Source organism: Homo sapiens, chromosome 14 (genome assembly GCF_000001405.40).
Source record: "Homo sapiens chromosome 14, GRCh38.p14 Primary Assembly".
Taxonomy (NCBI): Eukaryota; Metazoa; Chordata; class Mammalia; order Primates; family Hominidae; genus Homo; species Homo sapiens.
Window position 1 is genome coordinate 81,539,344 of NC_000014.9, and position 22,734 is coordinate 81,562,077.

A 22,734-nucleotide genomic window follows, 5' to 3' on the forward strand; every position below is an offset into this window, starting at 1 on the left:
ACTTTGACTTGTCTCATTGTATCCTGGTCTCAAGTAACCTGTCTAGAGTTGGTTTTCTGTGGGATTGCTTATGTCTAATCAGAAAATAATATGCCCTAGTTCTGAGTGCCAGGTCAACTCTGCTTGTTAGAGACTGCCCTTTATTTTCTTTCTGAGCACGTGCTGTGTGACACACCTGGTTCTTGATGAGGGCTCGAGCAATGAATAAAAAACAAAAAACCATGGAGTTTACCTTCTAAATAGAGTGAAAAACAGACAAAAATAAATAAGTAAATTATAAAATTAGGAAGTGATAAATGCTATGGAAAAAAAGATAATGCAGGGAAGAAGAATAAGAATCTTGGAGCAAGGGCATTAAAATTTAAAATGAGGAGGTCGGGGCAGGATTTCCTGTAAAGTTTACATTTGAGCAAAGACTTAAGAAGATGACAGAACCAGCCATGAAGATATGGGAGAGAAGAGCTGTCCAGGAATAGGGAGCATGCTGTGTAAAATTTCCAAGGCAAGAGCATGTCTGTTGTTTTCTAAAAACACGAAGGGGTTCTATGGTTGCAGAAGAAGGTGGGAGGGGTGGAGGAGGTAGGAAGCTGTGAGGTCTGAGCAGTGATTGAAGCCAGATGGTCTGAGGATTTTAGGCTGATATAAAGGGGAAGGTGAAATGCTACTTTTGATGACTTTGAAACAGGCTATCTCCAGGTGTGACCTGTGTAATGGCCTGGAGATCCTCTCCTGCATGGGAATGACCAAATTAATTACACAAACTTTTAAATTCATTGTTTGGATATAATGCTGAAATAACCAATGAAAACCATTGTACTCAAAGGTTTATTCAGAGGAAATTCATATGCCGGTTAGAAATGGAGATAGATGGGTGTGGCTGGCAAGATGGCTGAATAGGAACAGCTCTGGTCTGCAGCTCCCAGCGAGATCAATGCAGAAGATGGGTGATTTCTGCATTTCCAATTGAGGTACCTGGCTCATCTCACTGGGACTGGTTAGAGAGTGGGTGCAGCCTAGAGAGGGTAAGCCAAAGCAGACTGGGGTGTCACCTCACCTGGGAAGCGCAAGGGTTGGGGAACTCCTTCCCCTAACCAAGGGAAGCCACGAGGGACTGTGCTGTGAGGAACGGTGCACTCTGGCCCAGATACTATGCTTTTCCCACAGTCTTTGCAACCTGCAGAACAGGAGATTCCCTTGGGTGCCTACACCACCAGGGCCCTGGAGTTCAAGCACTAAACTGGGTGGCCGTTTGGGCAGATACTGAGCTAGCTGCTTACTCTCCTTAAGATTTATTTCTGTTTTTCTGGGTTTTTTTTTGTTGTTGTTTCGTGACAGAGTCTCACTCTGTCACCCAGGCTGGAGTGCAGTGGTGCCATCTCAGCTCACGGAAACCTCTGCTTCCCGGGTTCAAGCAATTCTCATGCCTCAGCCTGCAGGAGTTTTTTTTCATACCCCAGTGGCTCCTGGAACACCAACAAGACAGAACCATTCACATCCCTGGAGAGGGGGCTGAAGCCAAGGAACCAAGTGGTCTAGCTCAGTGGATCCCACCCCCACAGCGCCCAGCAAGCAAAGATCCACTGGCTTTAAATTCTTGCTGCCAGCACAGCAGTCTGAAGTTGACCTGGGATGCTTGAGCTTGGTAGGGGGAGGGGCATCCGCCATTACTGACCCTTGAGTAGGCAGTTTTCCCCTCACAGTGTAAACAAAGCCACAGGGAAATTTGAACTGGATGGAGCCCACTGCAACTCGGCAAAGCCACTGTGGCCAGACTGCCTCTCTAGATTCCTACTCTCCAGGCAGGGCATCTCTGAAGGGAAGGCAGCAGCCCCAGTCACTGGCTTATAGATAAAATTCTCATCTCCCTGGGACAGAGCACCTGGGGGAAGGGGCGGCTGTGGGCGCAGCTTCAGCAGACTTAAGTGTTCCTGCCTGCTGGCTCTGTATAGAGCAGCAGATCTCCCAGCACAGTGCTCGAGCTCTGCTAAGGGACAGACTGACTCCTCAAGTGGGTCCCTGACTCCCTTGCCTCCTGACTAGGAGACACCTCATACAGGAGAGGTCTGGCTGGCATCTGGCCAGTGCCCCTCGGGGACAAAGCTTCCAGAGGAAGGAACAGGCAGCAATCTTTGCTGTTCTGCAGCATCTACTGGTGATACCCAGGAAAACAAGGTCCGGAGTGGACCTCCAGCCAACTCCAGCAGAACTGCAGTAGAGGGGTCTGACTGTTAGAAGGAAAACTAACAAACAGAAAGGAATAGCATCAACATCAACAAAAAGGACGTCCACTCAGAGACCCCATCTGAAGGTCACCAACATCAAAGACCAAAGGTAGATAAATCCATGAAGATGAAGAAAAACCAGCACAAAAAGGCTGAAAATTCCAAAAGCCAGAATGCCTCTTCTCCGCCAAAGGATCACAACTCCTCACCAGCAAGGGAACAAAACTGGATGGAGAATGAGTTTGACGAATTGACAGGTAGGCTTCAGAAGGTGGGTAATAACAAAATCCTCTGAGCTAAAGGAGCATGTTCTAACCCAATGCAAGGAAGCTAAGAACCTTGAAAAAAGGTTAGGGGAATTGCTAACTAGAATGACCAGTTTAGAGAAAAACATAAATGACCTGATGGAACTGAAAAACACAGCATGAGAATTTCGTTAAGCATGCGCAAGTGTCAATAGCCAAATCGATCAAGTGGAAGAAAGGATATCAGAGATTGAAGATCAACTTAATGAAATAAAGTGTGAAGACAAGATTAGAGAAAAAAGAATGAAAAGGAATTAATGAAGCCACCAAGAAATATGGGACTATGTGATGGGAAGAATGGAACCAAGTTGGAAAACACTCTTCATGATATTATCCAGGAGAACTTCCCCAACCTAGCAAGAAAGGCCAACATTCAAATTCAGGAAATACAGAGAAGACCACAAAGTACTCCTTGAGAAGAGCAACCCCAAGACATATAATTGTCAGTTTCACCAAGGTTGAAATGAAGGAAAAAAATGTTAAGGGCAGCCAGAGAAAAAGGTCGGGTTACCCACATAGGGAGGCCCATCAGACTAACAGTGGATCTCTCTGCAGAAACCCTGCAAGCCATAAGAGAGCAGGGGCCAATATTCAACATACTTAATGAAAAAAATTTTCAACTCAGAATTTCATATCCAGCCAAATTGAGTTTCATAAGTGAAGGAGAAATAAAATCCTTTACAGACAAGCAAATGCTGAGAGATTTTGTCACCACCAGGCCTGCCTTACAAGAGCTCCTGAAAGAAGCCTAAATGTGGAAAGGAAAAACCGGTACCAGCCACTGCAAAAGCACAGCAAATTGTAAAGGCCATTGACACTATGAAGAAACTGCATCAACTAACAGGCAAAATAACCACCTAGCATCATAATGACAGGATCAAATTCAAACATAACAATATTAGCATTAAATGTAAATGGGCTAAATGCCTCAATTAAAAGACACAGATTGGCAAATTGGATAAAGGGTCAAGAACCATCCATGTGCTGTATTCAGGAGACCCATCTCACATTCAAAGACACACATAGGCTCAAAATAAAAGGATGGAGGAAGATCTACCAAGCAAGTGGAAAAAAAACCAAATGGGTGCAATCCTAGTCTCTGATAAAACAGACTTTAAACCAACAAAGATCAAAACAGACAAAGAAGGCCATCACATAATGGTAAAGGGATCAATTCAACAAGAAGAGCTAACTATCCTAAATACGTATGCACCCAATACAGGAGGACCCAGATTCATAAAGCAAGTCCTTAGAGACCTACAAAGAGACTTAGACTCCCACACAATAATAATGGGAGATTTTAACACCCCACTGTCAACATTAGACAGATCAACAAGACAGAAAGTTAACAAGGATATCCAGGAATTGAACTCAGCTCTGCACCAAGCAGACCTAATAGACATCTACAGAACTCTCCAACCCGAATCAACAGAATATACATTCTTCTCAGCACCACATCACACTTATTCCAAAATTAACCACATAGTTGGAAGTAAAGCACTCCTCAGTAAATGTAAAAGAACAGAAATTATAACAAACTGTCTCTCAGACCACAGTGCAATCAAACTAGAACTCAGGATTAAGACACTGACTCAAAACTGCTCAACTACATGGAAATTGAACAATCTGTTCCTGGATGACTACTGGGTACATAACGAAATGAAGGCAGAAATAAAGATGTTCGTTGAAACCAATGAGAACAAAGACACAACATACCGGAATCTCTGGGACACATTTAAAGCAGCGTGTAGAGGGAAATTTATAGCACTAAATGCCCACAAGAGAAAGCAGGAAAGATCTAAAATTGACACCCTAACATCACAATTAAAAGAACTAGAAAAGCAAGAGCAAACACATTTAAAAACTAGCAGAAGGCAAGAAATAACTAAGATCAGAGCAGAACTGAAGGAGATAGAGACACAAAAAAGCCTTCAAAAAATCAATGAATCCAGAAGCTGGTTTTTTGAAAAGATCAACAAAATTGATAGCCCTCTAGCAAGACTAATAAAGAAGAAAAGAGAGAAGAATCAAATAGATGCAATAAAAAATGATAAAGGGGATATCACTGCCAATCCCACAGAAATACAAACTACCATCAGAGAATACTATACACACCTCTATGCAAATAAACTATAAAATCTAGAAGAAATGGATAAATTCCTGGACACATACACCCTCCCAAGACTAAAACAGGAAGAAATTGAATCCCTGAATAGACCAATAACAGGTTCTGAAATTGAGGCAATAATTAATAGCTTACCAACCAAAAAAAGTCCAGGACCAGACGGATTCATAACCGAATTCTATCAGAGGTACAAAGAGGAGCTGGTACCATTCCTTCTGAAACTATTCCAATCAATAGAAAAAGAGAGAATCCTCCCTAATTCATTTTATGAGGCCAACATCATCCTGATACCAAAGCCTGGCAGAGACACAACAAAAAAAGAGAATTTTAGGCCAATATCCCTGATGAACATCCATGAGAAAATCCTCGATAAAATACTGGCAAACCAAATCCAGCAGCACATCAAAAAGCTTATCCACCACGATCAAGTGGGCTTCATCCCTCGATGCAAGGCTGGTTCAACATATGCAAATCAATAAACGTAATCCATCATACAAACAGAACCAAAGAAAAAAACCACACGATTATCTCAATAGATGCAGAAAAGGCCTTCGACAAAATTCAACAGCCCTTCATGCTAAAAACTCTCAATAAACTAGGTATTGATGGGACATATCTCAAAATAATAGGAGCTATTTATGACAAACCCACAGACAATATCATACTGAATGGGCAAAAACTGGAAGCATTCCTTTTGAAAACTGGCACAAGACAAGGATGCCCTCTCTCACCACTCCTATTCAACATAGTGTTGGAAGTTCTGTCCAGGGCAATCAGGCAGGAGAAAGAAATAAAGGGTATTCAATTAGGAAAAGAGGAAGTCAAATTGTCCCTGTTTGCAGACGACATGATTGTATATTTAGAAAACCCCATCATCTCAGCCCCAAATCTCCTTAAGCTGATAAGCAACTTCAGCAAAGTTTCAGGATACAAAATCAATGTGCAAAAATCACAAGCATTCCTATACACCAATAACAGACAAACAGAGAGCCAAATCATGAGTGAACTCCCATTCACAATTGCTTCAAAGAGAATAAATACCTAAGAATCCAACTTACAAGGGATGTGAAGGACCTCTTCAAGGAGAACTACAAACCACTGCTCAACGAAATAAAAGAGGACACAAACAAATGGAAGAACATTCCATGCTCATGGGTAGGAAGAATCAATATCATGAAAATGGCCATACTGCCCAAGGTAATTTATAGATTCAATGCCATCTCCATCAAGCTACCAACGACTTTCTTCACAGAATTGGAAAACCTACTTTAAAGTTCATATGGAATCAAAAAAGAGCCTGCATTGCCAAGACAATCCTAAGCCAAAAGAACAAAGCTGGAGGCATCACGCTACCTGACTTGGAACTATACTATGAGCCTACAGTAACCAAAACAGCATTGTACTGGTACAAAGCAGAGATATAAACCAATGGAACAGAATAGAGCCCTCAGAAATAATACCACACATCTACAACCATCTGATCTTTGACAAACCTGACATAAACAAGAAATGGGGAAAGGATTCCCTATTTAATAGATGGTTCTGGGAAAACTGGCTAGCCATGTGTAGAAAGCTGAAACTGGATCCCTTCCTTACACTTTATACAAAAATTAATTCAAGATGGATTAAAGACTTAAATGTTAGACCTAAAACCATTAAAACCCTAGAAGAAAACCTAGGCAATACCATTCAGGACATAGGCATGGGCAAGGATTTCATGACTAAAACACCAAAAGCAATGGCAACAAAAGCCAAAATTGACAAATGGGATCTAATTAAACTAAAGAGCTTCTGCACAGCAAAAGAAACTACCATCAGAGTGAAGAGGCAACCTACAGAATGGGAGAAAATTTTTACAATCTATCCATCTGACAAAGGGCTAATATCCGGAATCTACAAAGAACTCAAACAAATTTACAAGAAAAAAATCAAACAACCCCATCAAAAAGTGGGCAAAGGATATGAACAGATACTTCTCAAAAGAAGACATTTATACAGCCAACAGACACATGATAAAATGCTCATCATCACTGGCTGTCAGAGAAATGCAAATCAAAACCACAATGAGATACCATCTCACACCAGTTAGAATGGCAATCATTAAAAAGTCAGGAAACAACAGGTGCTGGAGAGGATGTGGAGAAATAGGAAGACTTTTACACTGTTGGTGGGACTGTAAACTAGTTCAACCATTGTGGAAGACAGTGTGGTGATTCCTCGGGGATCTAGAACTAGAAATACCATTTGACCCAGCCATCCCATTACTGGGTATATACCCAAAGGAATATAAATCATGCTGCTATAAAGACACATGCACACATATGTTTATTGTGGCACTATTCACAATAGCAAAGACTTGGAACCAACCCAAATGTCCATCAATGAGAGACCGGATTAAGAAAATGTGGCACATATACATCATGGAATACTATGCAGCCATAAAAAAGGATGAGTTCATGTCCTTTGTAGGGACATGGATGAAGCTGGAAACCATCATTCTGAGCAAACTATTGCAAGGACAGAAAACCAAACACCGCATGTTCTCACTCATAGGTGGGAATTGAACAGTGAGAACACTTGGACACAGGGTGGGGAACATCACACACGGGGGCCTGTCGTGGGGTAGGGGGAGGGGGGAGGGGGGAGGGATAGCATTAGGAGATATACTTAATGTAAATGACAAGTTAATGAGTGCAGCACACCAACATGGCACATGTATACATATGTAACAAACCTGCACATTGTGCACATGCACCCTAGAACTTAAAGTATAATTTAAAAAAAAAAGAAATTGAGGCAATAATTTATAGCCCACCAACCAAAAAAAGCCCAGGACCAGACGGATTCACAGCCGAATTCTACCAGAGGTACAAAGAGGAGCTGGCACCATTCCTTCTGAAACTATTCCAAACAATAGAAAAAGACGGACTCCTTCCTAACTCATTTTATGAGGACAGTGTCATCCTGATACCAAAACCTGGCAAAGACACAACAACAACAAAAAGAAAATTTCAGTCCAATATCCCTGATGAACATCCATGCGAAAATCCTCAATAAAATACTGGCAAACCAAATCCAGCAGCACATCAAAAAGCTTATCCACCACGATCAAGTCAGCTTCATCCCTGGGATGCAAGGCTGGTTCAATATATGCAAATCAATAAACATAATCCATCACATAAACAGAACCAATGACAAAATCCACATGATTATCTCAATAGATGCAGAAAAGGCCTTCGATAAAATTCAACACTTCTTCATGCTGAAAACTCTAAATAAACTAGGTATTGATGGAATATAATAAGAGGTATTTATGATAAACCCACAGCCAATATCATACTGAATGGGCAAAAGCTGGAAGCATTCCCTTTGAAACTGGCACAAGACAAGAATGCCCTCTCTTACCACTCCTATTCAACACAGTATTGAAAGTTCTGGCCAGGGCAATCAGGCAAGAGAAAGAAATAAAGGGTATTCAAATAGCAAGAGAGGAAGTCAAATTGTCTCTGTTTACAGATGACATGATTGTATATTTAGAAAACTCCACCGTCTCAGCCCCAAAGATCCTTAAGCTGATAAGCAACTTCAATAGAGTCTCAGGATACAAAATCAATGTGCAAAAATCAGCCGGGTGTGGTGGCTCACGCCTGTAATCCCAGCACTTTGGGAGGCCAAGGTCAGTGGATCTCGAGGTCAGGAGATCAAGACCACCCTGGCTAACACCGTGAAACCCCATCTCTACTAAAAATACAAAAAATTAGCCAGGCCTGATGGTGGGCACCTGTAGTCCCAGCTACTCGGGGAGGCTGAGGCAGGAGAATGGCGTGAACCCAGGAGGCGGAGCTTGCAGTGAGCCGAGATCACAGCACTGCACTCCAACCTGGGCGACAGAGTGAGACTCTGTCTCAAAAAAAAAAAAAAAAAAAAAAAATCAATGTGCAAAAATCACAAGCATTCCTATACACAAATAATAGACAAACAGACAGCAATCACAATTGCTATAAAGAGAATAAGATACCCAGGAATACAACTTACAAGGGATATAAAGGACCTCTTCAAGGAGAACTACAAACCATTGCTCAAGGAAATAAGAGAGGACACAACAAATGGAAAAACATTACATGCTTATGGATAGGAAGTATCAATATTGTGAAAATGGCCATACTGCCCAAAGTAATTTATAACTTATACCTACCATTGACTTTCTTCACAGAATTAGAAAAAACTACTTTAAATTTCATATGGAATCAAAAAAGAGCCTGAATGGCCAAGACAATCCTAAGCAAAAGGAACAAAGCTGGAGGCATCACACTACCTGACTTCAAACTATACTACAAGGCTGCAGTAACCAAAAAGCATGGTGCTGGTACCAAAACAGATATATAGACCAATGGAACAGAACAGAGGCCTCAGAAATAATGCCACACATCTACAACCACCTGATCTTTGACAAACCTGACAAAAACAAACAATGGGGAACGGATTCCCTATTTAATAAATGGTGTTGGGAAAACTGGCTAGCCATATGCAGAAAACTGAAACTGGACCCCTTCCTTACACCTTATACAAAAAGTAAATCAAGATGGATTAAAGACTTAAACATATGACCTAAAACCATAAAAACCCTAGAAGAAAACCCAGGCAATACCATTCAGGACATAGGCATGGGCAAAGACTTCCTGACTAAAACACCGAAAGCAATGGCAACAAAAGCCAAAATTGACAAATGGGATCTAATTAAACTAAAGAGCTTCTGCACAGCAAAAGAAACTACCATCAGAGTGAACAGGCAACCTACAGAATGGGAGAAAATTTTTACAATCTATCCATCTGGCAAAGGGCTAATATCCAGAATCTACAAGGAACTTAAACAAATTTACAAGAAAAAAACAAACAACCCCATCAAAAAGTGGGTGAAGGATATGAACAGACACTTCTTAAAAGAAGACATTTATACAGCCAACAGACACATGAAAAAATGCTCATCATCACTGGCCGTCAGAGAAATGCAAATCAAAACCACAATGAGATACCATCTCACACCAGTTAGAATGACGATCATTAAAAAGTCAGGAAACAACAGATGCTGGAGAGGATGTGGAGAATTAGGAACGCTTTTACACTGTTGGTGGGAGTGTAAATCAGTTCAACCATTGTGGAAGACAGTGTGGTGATTCCTCAAGGATCTAGAACCAGAAATACCATTTGACCCAACCATCCCATTACTGGGTATATACCCAAAGGATTATAAATCATTCTACTATAAACACACATGCACACGTATGTTTATTGTAGCACCATTCACAATAGCAAAGACTTGGAACCAACCCAAATGCCCATCAATGATAGACTGGATAAAGAAAATGTGGCATATATACATCATGGAATACTATGCAACCATAAAAAGCATGAGTTCATGTCCTTTGCAGGGACATGGATGAAGCTGGAAACCATCATTCTCAGCAAACTAATACAGGAACAGAAAACCAAACACCGCATGTTCTCACTCATAAGTGGGAGTTGAACAATAAGAACACTTGGACACAAGGAGGGGAACATCACACACTGGGGTCTGTTGTAGGGTGCAGGGCTAGGGGAGGGATAGCATTAGGAGAAATATCTAATATAGATGACAAGTTGATGGGTGCAGCAAACCACAATGGCACGTGTATAGCTATGTAACAAACCTGCACGTTCTGCACATGTATCCCAGAACTTAAAGTATAATTACATACATATATATATATGTGTATATATGTATACACATATATATATATGTATGTATGTAGTGGAGTTTCTTAAAAAATTAAAAAAGAAATGGAGATAGATAAGTGCAAAATAGCTGTTAAGAAAAAGATCTTCAAACAAGGGAAATAATATTACCGTAAATGCAAATTAATTGAGAGTAAGTTTAGAAAACATTCATGATGCAAAACAAGGCTTTTGGACCATTTCCTATTCTCCCAGCTATGCCATGTTGACATAACATAAATGTTAACCAAAGGGCTGCAGTTGGCAAAATATATGTGATATATAAAGATATATTTTATGTAAATACATGAAAAATATTTTCACAGGCACACACATATGTGATTAAAATAAACAGCCTAACAGTTGAGAGTAGGTTGCAGACATGATGCTTTTCCCCCCAATTATGTTAGTGTACATTTCCTGAAAACAAGCAATTCTCGTACACAACTGCAGGACTGTTGTCAAAGTCAGGCACTTAATGCTGATCCAATACTGTTGTCTAATCTACAGACTTTATTCAGATTGCACCAACTTGCCATAATGATGTCCTTCCTAATAAAAGAAAATCCAAGATCATGAAGTGTGTCCAGTTTGTCACATCTCATTAGTTTTCTTTCACCTGGAACAGTTCTTGAGGGGAGTATGTGTGTGAGAAAGAGAGTGTGTGTCTGTGTATGTTTTCCTGAGTCTCATGACACGGCATTTTGAAAGTGCATAAGCCAGTAATTTTGTAAAATGTGCCAATTTCAGTTTGTGTCATGATTAGATTCAGGTTATGCACTTTTGGTAAGAACACCACAAAAACGATTCTGAATTCTCAGTGCACCGTATCAGGAGGCAAATGCTGTTGGTTAGTCCTTATTCTGGCAATGATTATTTTGATCAATTAGGTATAGAGGTGTTTTCACTGTATTTTACCTTTTGTAATTAATAGGTATCTTGTAGGGGATACTTTAAGACTATGTAACTATCTCATGAGTTATCAAACATTTACCCACCAATTTACCATATATAGTCATGATTCTTGCCTGAATGAAAAATTATTATGATGGCTGCCAAATGGTGATTTTTCTATCATTCCTCTTATGTTTATCATTGGCTTTCTCCTGTAGGCAGAGCTTTCTCTTCTTATTTATTTTTTCATTTAATTAACTAATTTACATTGGTGTGGACTGTTAGATTCTTAATTTATTCAATAGGTTATAATTCTTTACTATCATCAGATTATTTCAGATTTGACCAGTGGGTACCCCTTCAAAGGGACACCTATATCTTTGTGACATATTCCCATCATTCTTTGAGCACATCCTTACATTTTTGTACTATTTACATTTTTTCTACTTTTCCTGACCCAGCCCTGACATCAACCACTTCTCCAAGGAGCCGTGCTCTCCCTTCAGTGGAAAATGGTATCTATATCCGCGGAGTGCTTACTGCTACTGAGGTGTTATTGCCTCTAAAATCTCTTAGCAGATATAACTGAGAAATATATATGTATGCGCTTCTCTTGTGTGTGTGTGGGGGGGTATAGATGTGTGTGAGTGTGTACATATGCATACATACACACACATATACACAGTCACACACATCTGTAGTCATTCCTATATCTATCTCTCTATATTCAAATCTCTGTGTAAATGAATAAATGAGCCACAGAGAAAATAGGAAAAAATACTTGTAGTACATGTATTTTAAAGAGAACATGTTTCTAAGATATATGAAAAACTCAATAAATTATAATGAATATATTATAAATACTACGTAGAATAAAACATGCAAATTGAATATGTATTAAATAATATAAGCAATATAAATATGATATAACCCATATTATAAATATAAGAACTCAATAATAAAAACACACACAAAAAAACAGGAATGATTGAACGGGCACCTCGCCAAGAAAATATGCAGGTAGAAACATGAAAAGATTTTCAGCTTCATTAGTCATTAAGGAAAAGCCAGTTAAGATCATAATGAAATATCACTTACTTCAGCTAGAATGGCTAAAATTTAAAAGCTTCACAATGTGAAATGTTGATGAGGATATGGAGCAATTGAAACTCTTAGATAAAACTGATAGAGCTGTAAAAGTGTACAACTGTGAAAAATTGTTTGGCAGTATATCTTATAAATTTTAACGTATTCCTATCCTATAGCCCAGCATTTTTTATTATTATTTGTTCAAGAGAGATGAAATCATTTACCCACAAAACATCTCATGCAAAAATGTTGACAGAAGCTATATTTGCAATATCAGTTTATAATAATGAAGATCTTGGAACAACTCAATGTCTACCTTCTGGTGAAGAGATAAACTGTGGTACATTCATACAATGAAATACTACTTGGCAATAAAAAGGAAAGAACTAATGACATGTGCAACATCATGGATGAATCTTATGCTGAATGAAACATGAAATATTATGCCAAGTGAAAGAAACCAGACAGAAAAGAGCACATACTTTATGATTCCGCTCATACGGAGCTCAAGAATAGGTGAAGCTGGCTGGGCGCGGTGGCTCACACCTGTAATCCCAGCACATTGGGAGGCCGAGACGGGTGGATCACCTGAGGTCAGGAGTTCAAGACCAGCCTGGCCAACATGGTGAAACCCCGTCTTTACTAAAAGTACAAAAATTAGCCAGACGTGGTGGCGGGCACCTATAATCCCAGCTATTCAGGAGGCTGAGGCAGGAGAATTGCTTGAACCTGGGAGGCAGAGGTTGCAATGAGCTGAGATCGCGCCACTGCACTCCAGCCTGGGAGACAAAAGCGAGACTCTGTCTCAAAAAAAAAAAAAAAAAATACGGAAGTTAATCTGCAGCAATAGAGATTAGAATAGCAGTTGCTTGGGGTAAGAGTGGGCAGGGGAATAATTGACTGGAAAGGGGCAGGAGGGAATTTTTGGGTGATGAAAATCTTCTATAATCTCATTCATGTGTGGGTAACACGAGTATACATATTTGTCAAAACTCATAGAATTGCATCTTCAAGATCCAAGCATTTTATTGTATATGAATTATGCTTTGTGCTAGGCAGAATAATGCCTCCTCCTCAAAGAGGTTCATGTTCTAATCTCAAACTAGTGAATATGTTTCTTTACGTGGCCAAAGGGACTTTGCTGATATGATTGCATTAAGCTTCTTGAGATGGGGAGATTCTCCTGTATTCTCCAGACGGGTTCTAAATGTAATCACAAGTGTTCTTATAAGAGGGAAGCAGGAGGGTCAAAGTCAAAAGGAGAAGATGTGATGATGCAAGCGGAGGTTGGAGTGGTGCCGTTGCTGGAAGGCCGTGAACCAAGGAATGCAGGCAGTTTCTAGAATATGGAAAAGGTAAGGAATGGTTATCCTCTAGAGCCTTCAGAAGGAGCACAGCCCTGACAACTTCCTGATTTTACCTTTGTAAGATTCACTTTTGGACGTCACAAAAATTTTTTTAAATATTTTTTAAGAGGTGAGGTCTTGCTCTGTTGCCCAGGCTGGAGTGCAATGGTGCACACATGGCTCAATGCATCCTTGATCTCTTGGGCTCAAGCCATCCTCCTGCCTCCACCTCCTGAGGAGCTGGACTTTAGGTGCATGCCACCATAGCTGGCTAACTTTTTTCACTTTTTAAAAGAGATGAGCCCTCACTATGTTGTCCAGGCTGGTCTTGAACTTCTGGGCTCAAGTGATCTTCCTACCTCAGCCTCCAAGTAGTTGACACTACAGGTATGAGCCACTGCACCTGACCATTTTTGGACTTCTGATATCCAGAACTATAACGTAGTACATTTGTGTTGTTTTAAGCCACTAAGTTTGTGGTAATTTCTCTTTCTTTCTTTCTTTCCTTTTCCTTTACCTTTTCCTTTTCCTTTCCCTTTCCCTTTTTCTTTTCCTTTTCCTCTTCCTTTCCTTCCTTCTTTCTTTCTTTTTGACAGAGGCTCACTCTGTTGCCCAGGCTGGAGTCCACATCCCAGGTTCAAGCAATTCTTATGCCTCGCCTCTTGGGTATCTAGTATTACAGGTGTGCACCACCAGGGAAGAACCGCTTGTCATGGTCGGCTTCAGGTAGAGGCAGCTCCTGGGGAAAAATGGCCTGAGGCTCCCAGGACTGTGGCTGTTGGTGACAAACACATGGCCACTTCCTACAAAGCATGCTCATGGTGTCAAGAAGGCTGAGCCAGGAATGTTCCAGAATCATTACCCTGCTGTGCCCAAACCAGGCCTCTCTTAGGACTGGCTGAGTTTGCAATGATTGTTCTGTCCCCCAAGACCAGCCTCTACCCTCTCTGGTGAGTCTTAGGGAACCCTGTTCTCCTCTCCGGCTAGGAGGCCTCATCTGAGGCCATTTTGCCCTTCTGTCATGTTTCATTATGTTGAAAAAACAAAACAAGGCCGGGCACGGTGGCTCACGCCTGTAATCCCAGTACTTTGGGAGGCTGAGGCAGGCCGATCACTTTAGGTCAGGGGTTTGAGACCAGCCTGGCCAACATGGTGATACCCCCTTCTCTACTAAAAATACAAAAATTAGCTGGGCATGGTGGTGCATGACTGTAATCTCGGCTACTCTGGAGGCTGAGGCAGGAGAATCGCTTGAACCCAGGAGGCAGAGGTTGCAGTGAGCTGAGATCACGCCACTGGACTCCAGCCTGGGCAATAGAGCGAGACTCTGTCTAAAAAAAAAAGGGGGGGGAAAAAACCAAAACCAAAATACCTTTTAAAATGTTAGAATTGTTTTAGGTTTACAGAAAAGGTGCAAAGCAGTGTGGGGTTTCTGTATATTCCACATTCAGCTTCCTCTTATTGCTAGCATCTTATATTAGTGTGGTGCATTTGTTACAATGAATGAACCAAATGGATCCATTATGATTAACTAAAATCCTCACTTCCCCTTGTTTTTACCTAAAGTGCCTTTTCTGTTACAGAACCCCATCGGGGATACCACATTACCTTTCATCATGTCTCCTTAGGCAACTCTTGGCTGTGACGGTTTCTCAGATGGTCCTTGTTTTTTATGACATTGACAGTCCTGAGAGGTACTGGCAGGGCATTTTGCAGAATGTCCCCTCAATTGGGATTTTTTTTTTTTTTTGAGATGGAGTTTCTCTCTGTTGCCCAGGTTGGAGTGCAGTGGTGCGATCTTGGCTCACTGCAACCTGCACCTCCTGGGTTCAAGTGATCCTCCTGCGTCAGCCTCCCAAGTAGCTGGGACTACAGGTGCCTGCCACCACGCCTGGCTAATTTTTGTATTTTTAGTAGAGACAGGGTTTCACTATGTTGGCCAGGCTGGTCTTGAACTCCTGACCTCAGGTGATCCACCTGCCTCGGCCTCCCACAGTGCTGGGATTACAGGCATGAGCCACTGCACCTGGCCCCTCAATTGGGATTTGTCTGCTGTTTTTCTCATGATTAGACTGGAGTTATAGTTTTTGTGTGGAACACCACAGAGGTGAAGTGCCATTCCTACCACATCGTATCAAGGAAACATACTGCCAACACGGCTTGTCACTGTGGATGTTGACCTTGAGCACCTGGCTGAGGTAGTGTCTGGCAGGCTTCTCCACTGTCAAGTACCTTTTTTCCACCTTTCTGAAATCTAGAAGGAAGTCACTTTATGGAAGCCTGTTCTATCACGTTTGAATCTCAGTGTGGAGTCTGTGTCTCCAGCTGTTGTTGTGTTTTACAGTCATTCCATAATTGATTTATTAATTGTGGTAACAGTCACATGAAAAAATAATGTTTGGACCCATTAACATGTACAAATATTCTTCGAAGCCTATTGCTTTGCAAAGAGACTACACACTTGCATCAAGCTAAATACAAAATAGCAAAAAAGGAACAAAAAAGAAGCTTTCATTAGTGATGCTGAGCATTGTGTCCTCCACCAAGAGACACACCTGGCACACACCTGGCAGGGCCCAGGGCATGAGTACAAATGGAGGCCTATATACCATGGCTCTTACAAATTGAAAGTTATAAATTAAGCAAACAAACTGTTAAATTATGTCCTATCTACCTGCCAAAACAATACACCTTCACAAAAAAATGTACAAAGTTATATAGTCTTATATTACTGAAAATCGGCAAATATCAAAGACAACTGACTGTAATTATTGTTGCACATGCCTGGGTGTTCCCTTGATGTGTTGGGCATGTTTGGGTGAGTCATAAATTAAAGACATATGTAATTTGCAAATTGTACATTTATTCTAAAATTTTTATTTTTCTTGCCTAACGTCAGCAGTATCTCCAATTATGCTGTTTAATCAAGATTTCCACAAAATTTCTGTTCTCTTGATGGTAATGCCAAATTACATAATCTTTCTTGAGTCATTGAAATTATTATATGGTTTTAAAATTCCAACCTGGGAAACCTCTCTGCCGAGGCTGTAATGATTAAAACTGCCAATAAAGTTCTTCAGACATTACTTAAATTAAAAAATGAACCACAAATATTACTAACATGTTCAAACATTGTCATGGGATTTTGTGTGATAAACTATTTTTATCATAGAAAATACTACTACATATTTTAACTCATCTAAATTACTATTTTTATATCACAACTGTAATTGTCTCTTAATGTCTAGATCCATTCAATATTTTTTCTTTTTTTGTTTTTTTGAATAGTCCTGTTGCAATAAGTATTTTCTTCTTTTAAATTATTCAACACTATGGTATTATGAAGATAACTTGAAAATAGCAGTTTGATACTCAATTTGTTAAAATCTCTCTTCAATTAATAATATACTTCGATTTGTGATTTGCCTTTCTGAAATTTCAGAATTATTTATACATGAATCTTTTTTCATTGTCATAAAAACTTTATAATTCCCTTTTTAAAAGTTCTCTCCCCACTGAAGGAGGAAAAGTAAAATGCGTAGCTGCCTTAAATTGTGTAAGCCAATGACTGAGCCTTTGATCTTAGATTGTCTGCTGGATGGAGTTCACCTTGAACCACATGCTATGCTTACCACTCACTAATGTATGTAAGGAATTTTTTAAAGGACTTTGAAAATGAATATATTCTATCAGCTTTAAAACAAAAGTTCTCTCCCCAACACCCCCCTCCACCTTTTTTTTTTTTTTTTTTTGTGGAGACAAGGTCTTACCGTATTGCCCAGTCTGGTCTCAAACTCTTGTTCTCAAGAGTTCTTATGGCTTGGTATCCCAAAGCACTGGAATTACAGGTATGAGCAACCATGCTTGGCCTTCTTTTAAACAACTCTTTATACTTTATCTAAGCATAACCTTTGTTGCATATTTTATGCCAATTTTTTCAATTAAGAAAACAATTTCTAAAAGTAAACTATATATGTGTATATATAGTTTAATGCCTTTAACAAAGTATCAAACTAGATCTGTTTTGTTTTGTTAGTTTTTAAAAGTTAAAATTAAGCAATAGATTATACTAAATAAATGTGGATGGCACAAACTCAAAATTAATTTCATTTTTGGTGATTATTCACTCATTTGGGAATGTTATTTTGCCACACTCTCCTAGTGGATCCTAATTGTTCTAACATGTGGTCCAAATTCCCATTATGTGTCAAATGATGGTGTAGGGTCCAATTTCATATGTGTTTCATCATGCTAGTTCATTTTTGGGCTGACCCAGGAGATACTGAATTTTATCTCTGAATTGTTCCAAAGAATAGTGTTGCCATGGGTGCAGATGAGCTCATTTCTCCCAGTAATAAATTCCAACTCTGTGCATATGTAGCACAAAGAAATGCTTCTGGATTTTTGGTAAACATTCTGGCTTAATCACCTTATTCTTTGCCGACCATGTTAGTGAGATTAGGTAAGCCATGAAGTTTGCCCTCATCAATCTCTTAAATCAATGCCTAAAATTGAAAATTATTTTCTCAGCTTTTCAGTAAAGTCTAAACCTATTTTCACAACTGATGTCAACCAGTGGAATACTGTTGCGTTTTGACTTGTTTCCTTTTCTGGTAGTTCAACAACACATATAGTGAATATTACTTCATCAACATTTTGACCCTGTTACAACCTAGTTGAACTGAATAATAGTATCTTTAATTTTATTTATTTATTTATTTATTTATTTAGACAGGGACTCCCTTTGTCCGCCAGGCTGGAGCGCAGTGTTGTGATCACAGCTCACTGCAGCCTGGACCTCCCTGGCTCAGATGATTCTCCCATCTCAGCCTCCTGAGTAGCTGGGACCACAGGCATGCACCACCACACCTGGCTAATTTTGGTATTTTTTGTAGAGAGAAGGTTTCACCATATTGCCCAGGCTGGTCTCAAACTCCTGGGCTCAAGAGATCACCTGCCTCAGCCTCCCAAAGTTCTGTTATTACAGGCATGCGCCATTGTGCCCAGCCAATAGTATCTTTTTAAAAATTACATATGTTTTTTTCCTCACCTTATTACTCATTAAATTAAGAGCTTCATTTTGAATTTTCTAACCTTGAGAGTGATCATTTGCTTCATTATATTTTTGTTCATTTTAGCATCAAAATGTGAAACAATTTCTACTAAACCTAGATATTGTGCTTTTACTGACACAGAAAGCATCATTATGCATAGCAAATTTTGGGTACGTAGTGTCATCCTTTTCAGAACATCAGAGTAAGGTTCTGAGGTGGCATTTCCTTATCTTTATTGAATATGATCAATTATTCTTTATTCATCCTTTTGTTTCAGAAATTGCATTGTACTTTTTCTATGTGCAAATAACATTTTGTGACATGTAATTACATCTTCATTTGGTGAAGAATATGAGGTTGTAGGCATTTCATATGACCTGTGCAGACTGTGAATTGATAAGAATAATTTGCTAATTTTAATTTTTTAATCGCAATTAAGTCTTCATTAAATAGAGAATACGTAATATCTTGGTCAGGACTTTTCTGTGGGGCATACTTGCCAGACATTTGCTCATTTCCCTTGTTTCCAGTTTTAAAATACGTATGCAATCTGCCTCTTTGAGGAACTTCTACTTATTTTCTGGTTAGCTCATTTTCTTTCTGAGTTCCACTTTTGTATATTTTATTTCTAACATGATCTCAATGATCCAAAGCATTAAACAATAAAACTCAAAGTGTATGTAATTTAGACACACTTTTATTTAAAATGTAAGTGGAAGTAAATTTGAAAATAAAAAATTGTAATAAAATATATATATTTTAGAAAATTATATTTCTTTGGAAATATCAAAAATTATATGCTAAAATTAAAGGAGGGTATACCTTTTAATTAATAAAAACATTTTAAATAAAAAAGATTAAAATGAAGTTAAAATATTTCTACTTAATTTTTTGAAAATTTAATTAAATCACATTAAATATTTTTATAAAACTACAGTGATTTACAATTCCAAGATTCATTGTCTCTCCAGTTACCAATGTAAAGAGTCAATGTCAAGCTTTATACTTGTTGTGTCTAGACCTATTTCTATTAAGAGTAATATGAATTGTTTAATATTGCAAAATATTTTATTGCCATTATGCAACTGCTGTGAACATCATGGAAGTTGTGAGAATCTCTAGAACTGTAACTTGGAGTATTAAGTGAATAAAAAAATGGATGTTTGGCACTACTGGGAAATGATAGTATATTTTGAGAAAATCCATTACATTTCTGTTCTCTAAGAGAAATAAATCAATTTGTGTTGTCTCTTACTGAAGCAGTGTCTACCTCTGACATTGGCATCAGAGCAATTCTATTAGTCCATTCTCACACTGCTATAAATATGTGAGGCTGGGTAATTTATAGAGGAAAGAGATTTAATTGGCTTACAGTTCCACAGTCTGTACAGGAAGCATGATGCTGGCCTCTCCTCAGCTTCTGGGGGGCCTCAGGAAACTTACAATCATGGCAGAAGGCCAAGAGGAAGCATGCACATCTTACATGGCTGGAGGAGGAAGAGAGTGAGGGGAAGTGCTACACACTTTTAAGCAGCTGGATCCCGAGAGAACTCTATCATGAGAACAGCACTAGGGGGATGGTGCTAAACATGAGAAACCGCTGCCAGGATCCGGTAACCTCCCACCAGGCCCCACCTCCAGCACTGGGAATTACATTTCAACATGAGATTTGGGTAGAGACACAGATCCAAACCATATCAGCAATACAAAGCCTTTCAAGACTTCTAGACACAATTGCCTTCTGTTTCAAGGTCTTTGGAAAGAAATGTAGAATCCTTTCCCAACCCTGGCTGGTGTTGGTTATGAGTTAGGTTTAGGTTGCAGGTCACACCGAGCCAGAGTGCATTTGTGGCACTTGCAGAAGTGCATGTCCCCTAAAATATAGAGTCTAGGGTGGATCCCCTTTTGCTGAGGTCAGGGCAATCAGTACTGACACCTTGCATCACAGCAGTGTGGATCAAAGAAGATATTGAGGGTTATAAAAGTTATTTCTTTTTTGTGTTAAAAAAAGACTTGTTAAATACAAACATGGGCTGAAACTCTTATAAATTAATAGCCAACACCCAACAAACCAAACCAGATACCAAAAAAACTAGCAGAAAACCCTAACCCCCAAAACACTGTGTAAAGTTTTCTCAAGTGAAGGATAAGCGTATTCTTTTGCCAGATCAGTTGTTTTTTACAGCTCAACATCCACATGTAGCCCAAAAAAGTGTATCCAAAAATGAAAAAGAGCTTGTGCATACTATCAACAAGTGTGGTCTCCCTGTTGTACTTCATGGCGCTTATCCCAACTTGTAGTTAATTTTAAATTTATGTATCATATGTTTAGTGTTTGTTTTTCTTGTTGGAATGTGAGGAAGATAATGAAGCCTACCTTTTTCTTCCTTCTTTGAGTTCAGAATCCATTAAGAAATAAGACAGTTTGGGAGGCTGAGGCGGGCAGATTGTTTGAGGCCAGGAGTTCCAGACCAGCCTGGGCAACGTGATGAAACCCTGTGTCTACTAAAAATACAAAAATTAGCCAGGCATGGTGGTGCATGCCTGTAATCCCAGCTACTGGGGAGGCTGAGGCATGAGAATCACTTGAACCCAGGAGGCAGAGGTTGCAATGAGCCGAGATCACACCCCTGCATTCCAGCCTGGGCGACAGAGCAAGACTGTCTCAAAAAAAAAAAAAAAAGAAAAGAAAAAAGAAAATAAGACAGACATCAGACACATAAAAGTATCAGCCTAATTACTGATAACTTCACTTGCTGCTGGTTTTTATAACTCATTCAAAGGGGGATGGAGTTTTTGCAAATTTAATTATAACCTTGCTGGATACACAAAACACAATCACCCATTCCCGAGTTCTTTTAGGAGATATCTTAAACATTTCCAGAGATTAAAAAAAAAACTATTTAAAATTTCTTTTAATTAAAAAAAATTATCATATGGCTCGCTGGGAGTAGAATTGCAAAAGAATGAAGCCACGCTACACAAAAACAGGACCGTGCTGGGTGATGCATAGAGTGTGTACACAGGGCCCGAACATGTTTGAACACAGAAAGTAGTGACTCTTCTCTGCATGCATGCCGGGTCATTCTTTCTCAGCATGTTCAGCCAAGGGTGATGGAGATGGATATGTAAGGAGGACACCTAAGATTCCAGAGTTCCTGACTCTGCAGGCATCGTAGAGTCTTCAGCATAAAACAAGAGACCTCAATTTTCATTCCTTTTGAAAGGATGGCTTGAGAGAGTTCAGTTAGGTCGTGTGAAGTTGCCAGGGGCCTCATACTGGGAGAGAGATAAGAAACGAGTGAATAAATAAATGGAAGTAGCTCAGAAAGAACGTTCAGACAGAGTAGAAACATATATTCATCAAAAGTAAGTAAACAAAACCAGATTAATGCTTAGAATGAGATTGTGGATTGGGGAGGATTAGTCCCTCCCAGGAGGCCATGAGCCAGAGGTGAGCCTGCCTGCAGTGGTCGTGCAGGGGAAGCTACAGATAGGAGGTGTAGGAAGATGTGATAGGGCTTACAGATAAGAGTCAAAAAATAAAATAAAATAAATAAAATAAAATAAAATAAAAATGCTCTGTCTTCTAAATAAATTGATTCAGAAGTCTGGATATCCTGCAGCACGCCTGATGGGTTGCTGCTAGTGGAACAGACTAAGAACTTGTTGCCTTCAAACGTGAGCTGAGTAAAAAGCCATCGCTAAGAGGAATGTACACAGAAACTTACCAGGTACACCTGAAGGTGAGGCTGCCTTGCAGAAGACCATTTCACCTGTTTGAACTTTGAGAAACATTGGTTCAGATCTAACACTATGTAGAGTTTTGAGTGAATGGTTAGCAGCGTTTTCTTTAAAAGGGGACGTTTCTACCCACAAACTAAATGACCCAAATAAGGCAGATACTATGGGGCTCAGCCAAGTAAACCATTCTGTCCGCACTGGTAT

At 39.6% G+C, this 22,734-nt stretch overlaps 2 annotated features.

Moving 5' to 3' along the window:
- Window positions 10,762-10,841: an enhancer, noted in NCBI's record as "active region_8830". NCBI's record gives its function as "activates an Ori minimal core promoter by ATAC-STARR-seq in GM12878 lymphoblastoid cells {active_cell/tissue: GM12878}" and the evidence as "EXISTENCE:reporter gene assay evidence [ECO:0000049][PMID:35858748]".
- Window positions 21,953-22,496: an enhancer, noted in NCBI's record as "OCT4-NANOG-H3K4me1 hESC enhancer chr14:82027640-82028183 (GRCh37/hg19 assembly coordinates)". NCBI's record gives its function as "activates a minimal SCP1, AML or CMV promoter by ChIP-STARR-seq in naive and primed H9 embryonic stem cells {active_cell/tissue: H9 hESC(naive and primed)}" and the evidence as "EXISTENCE:reporter gene assay evidence [ECO:0000049][PMID:30033119]".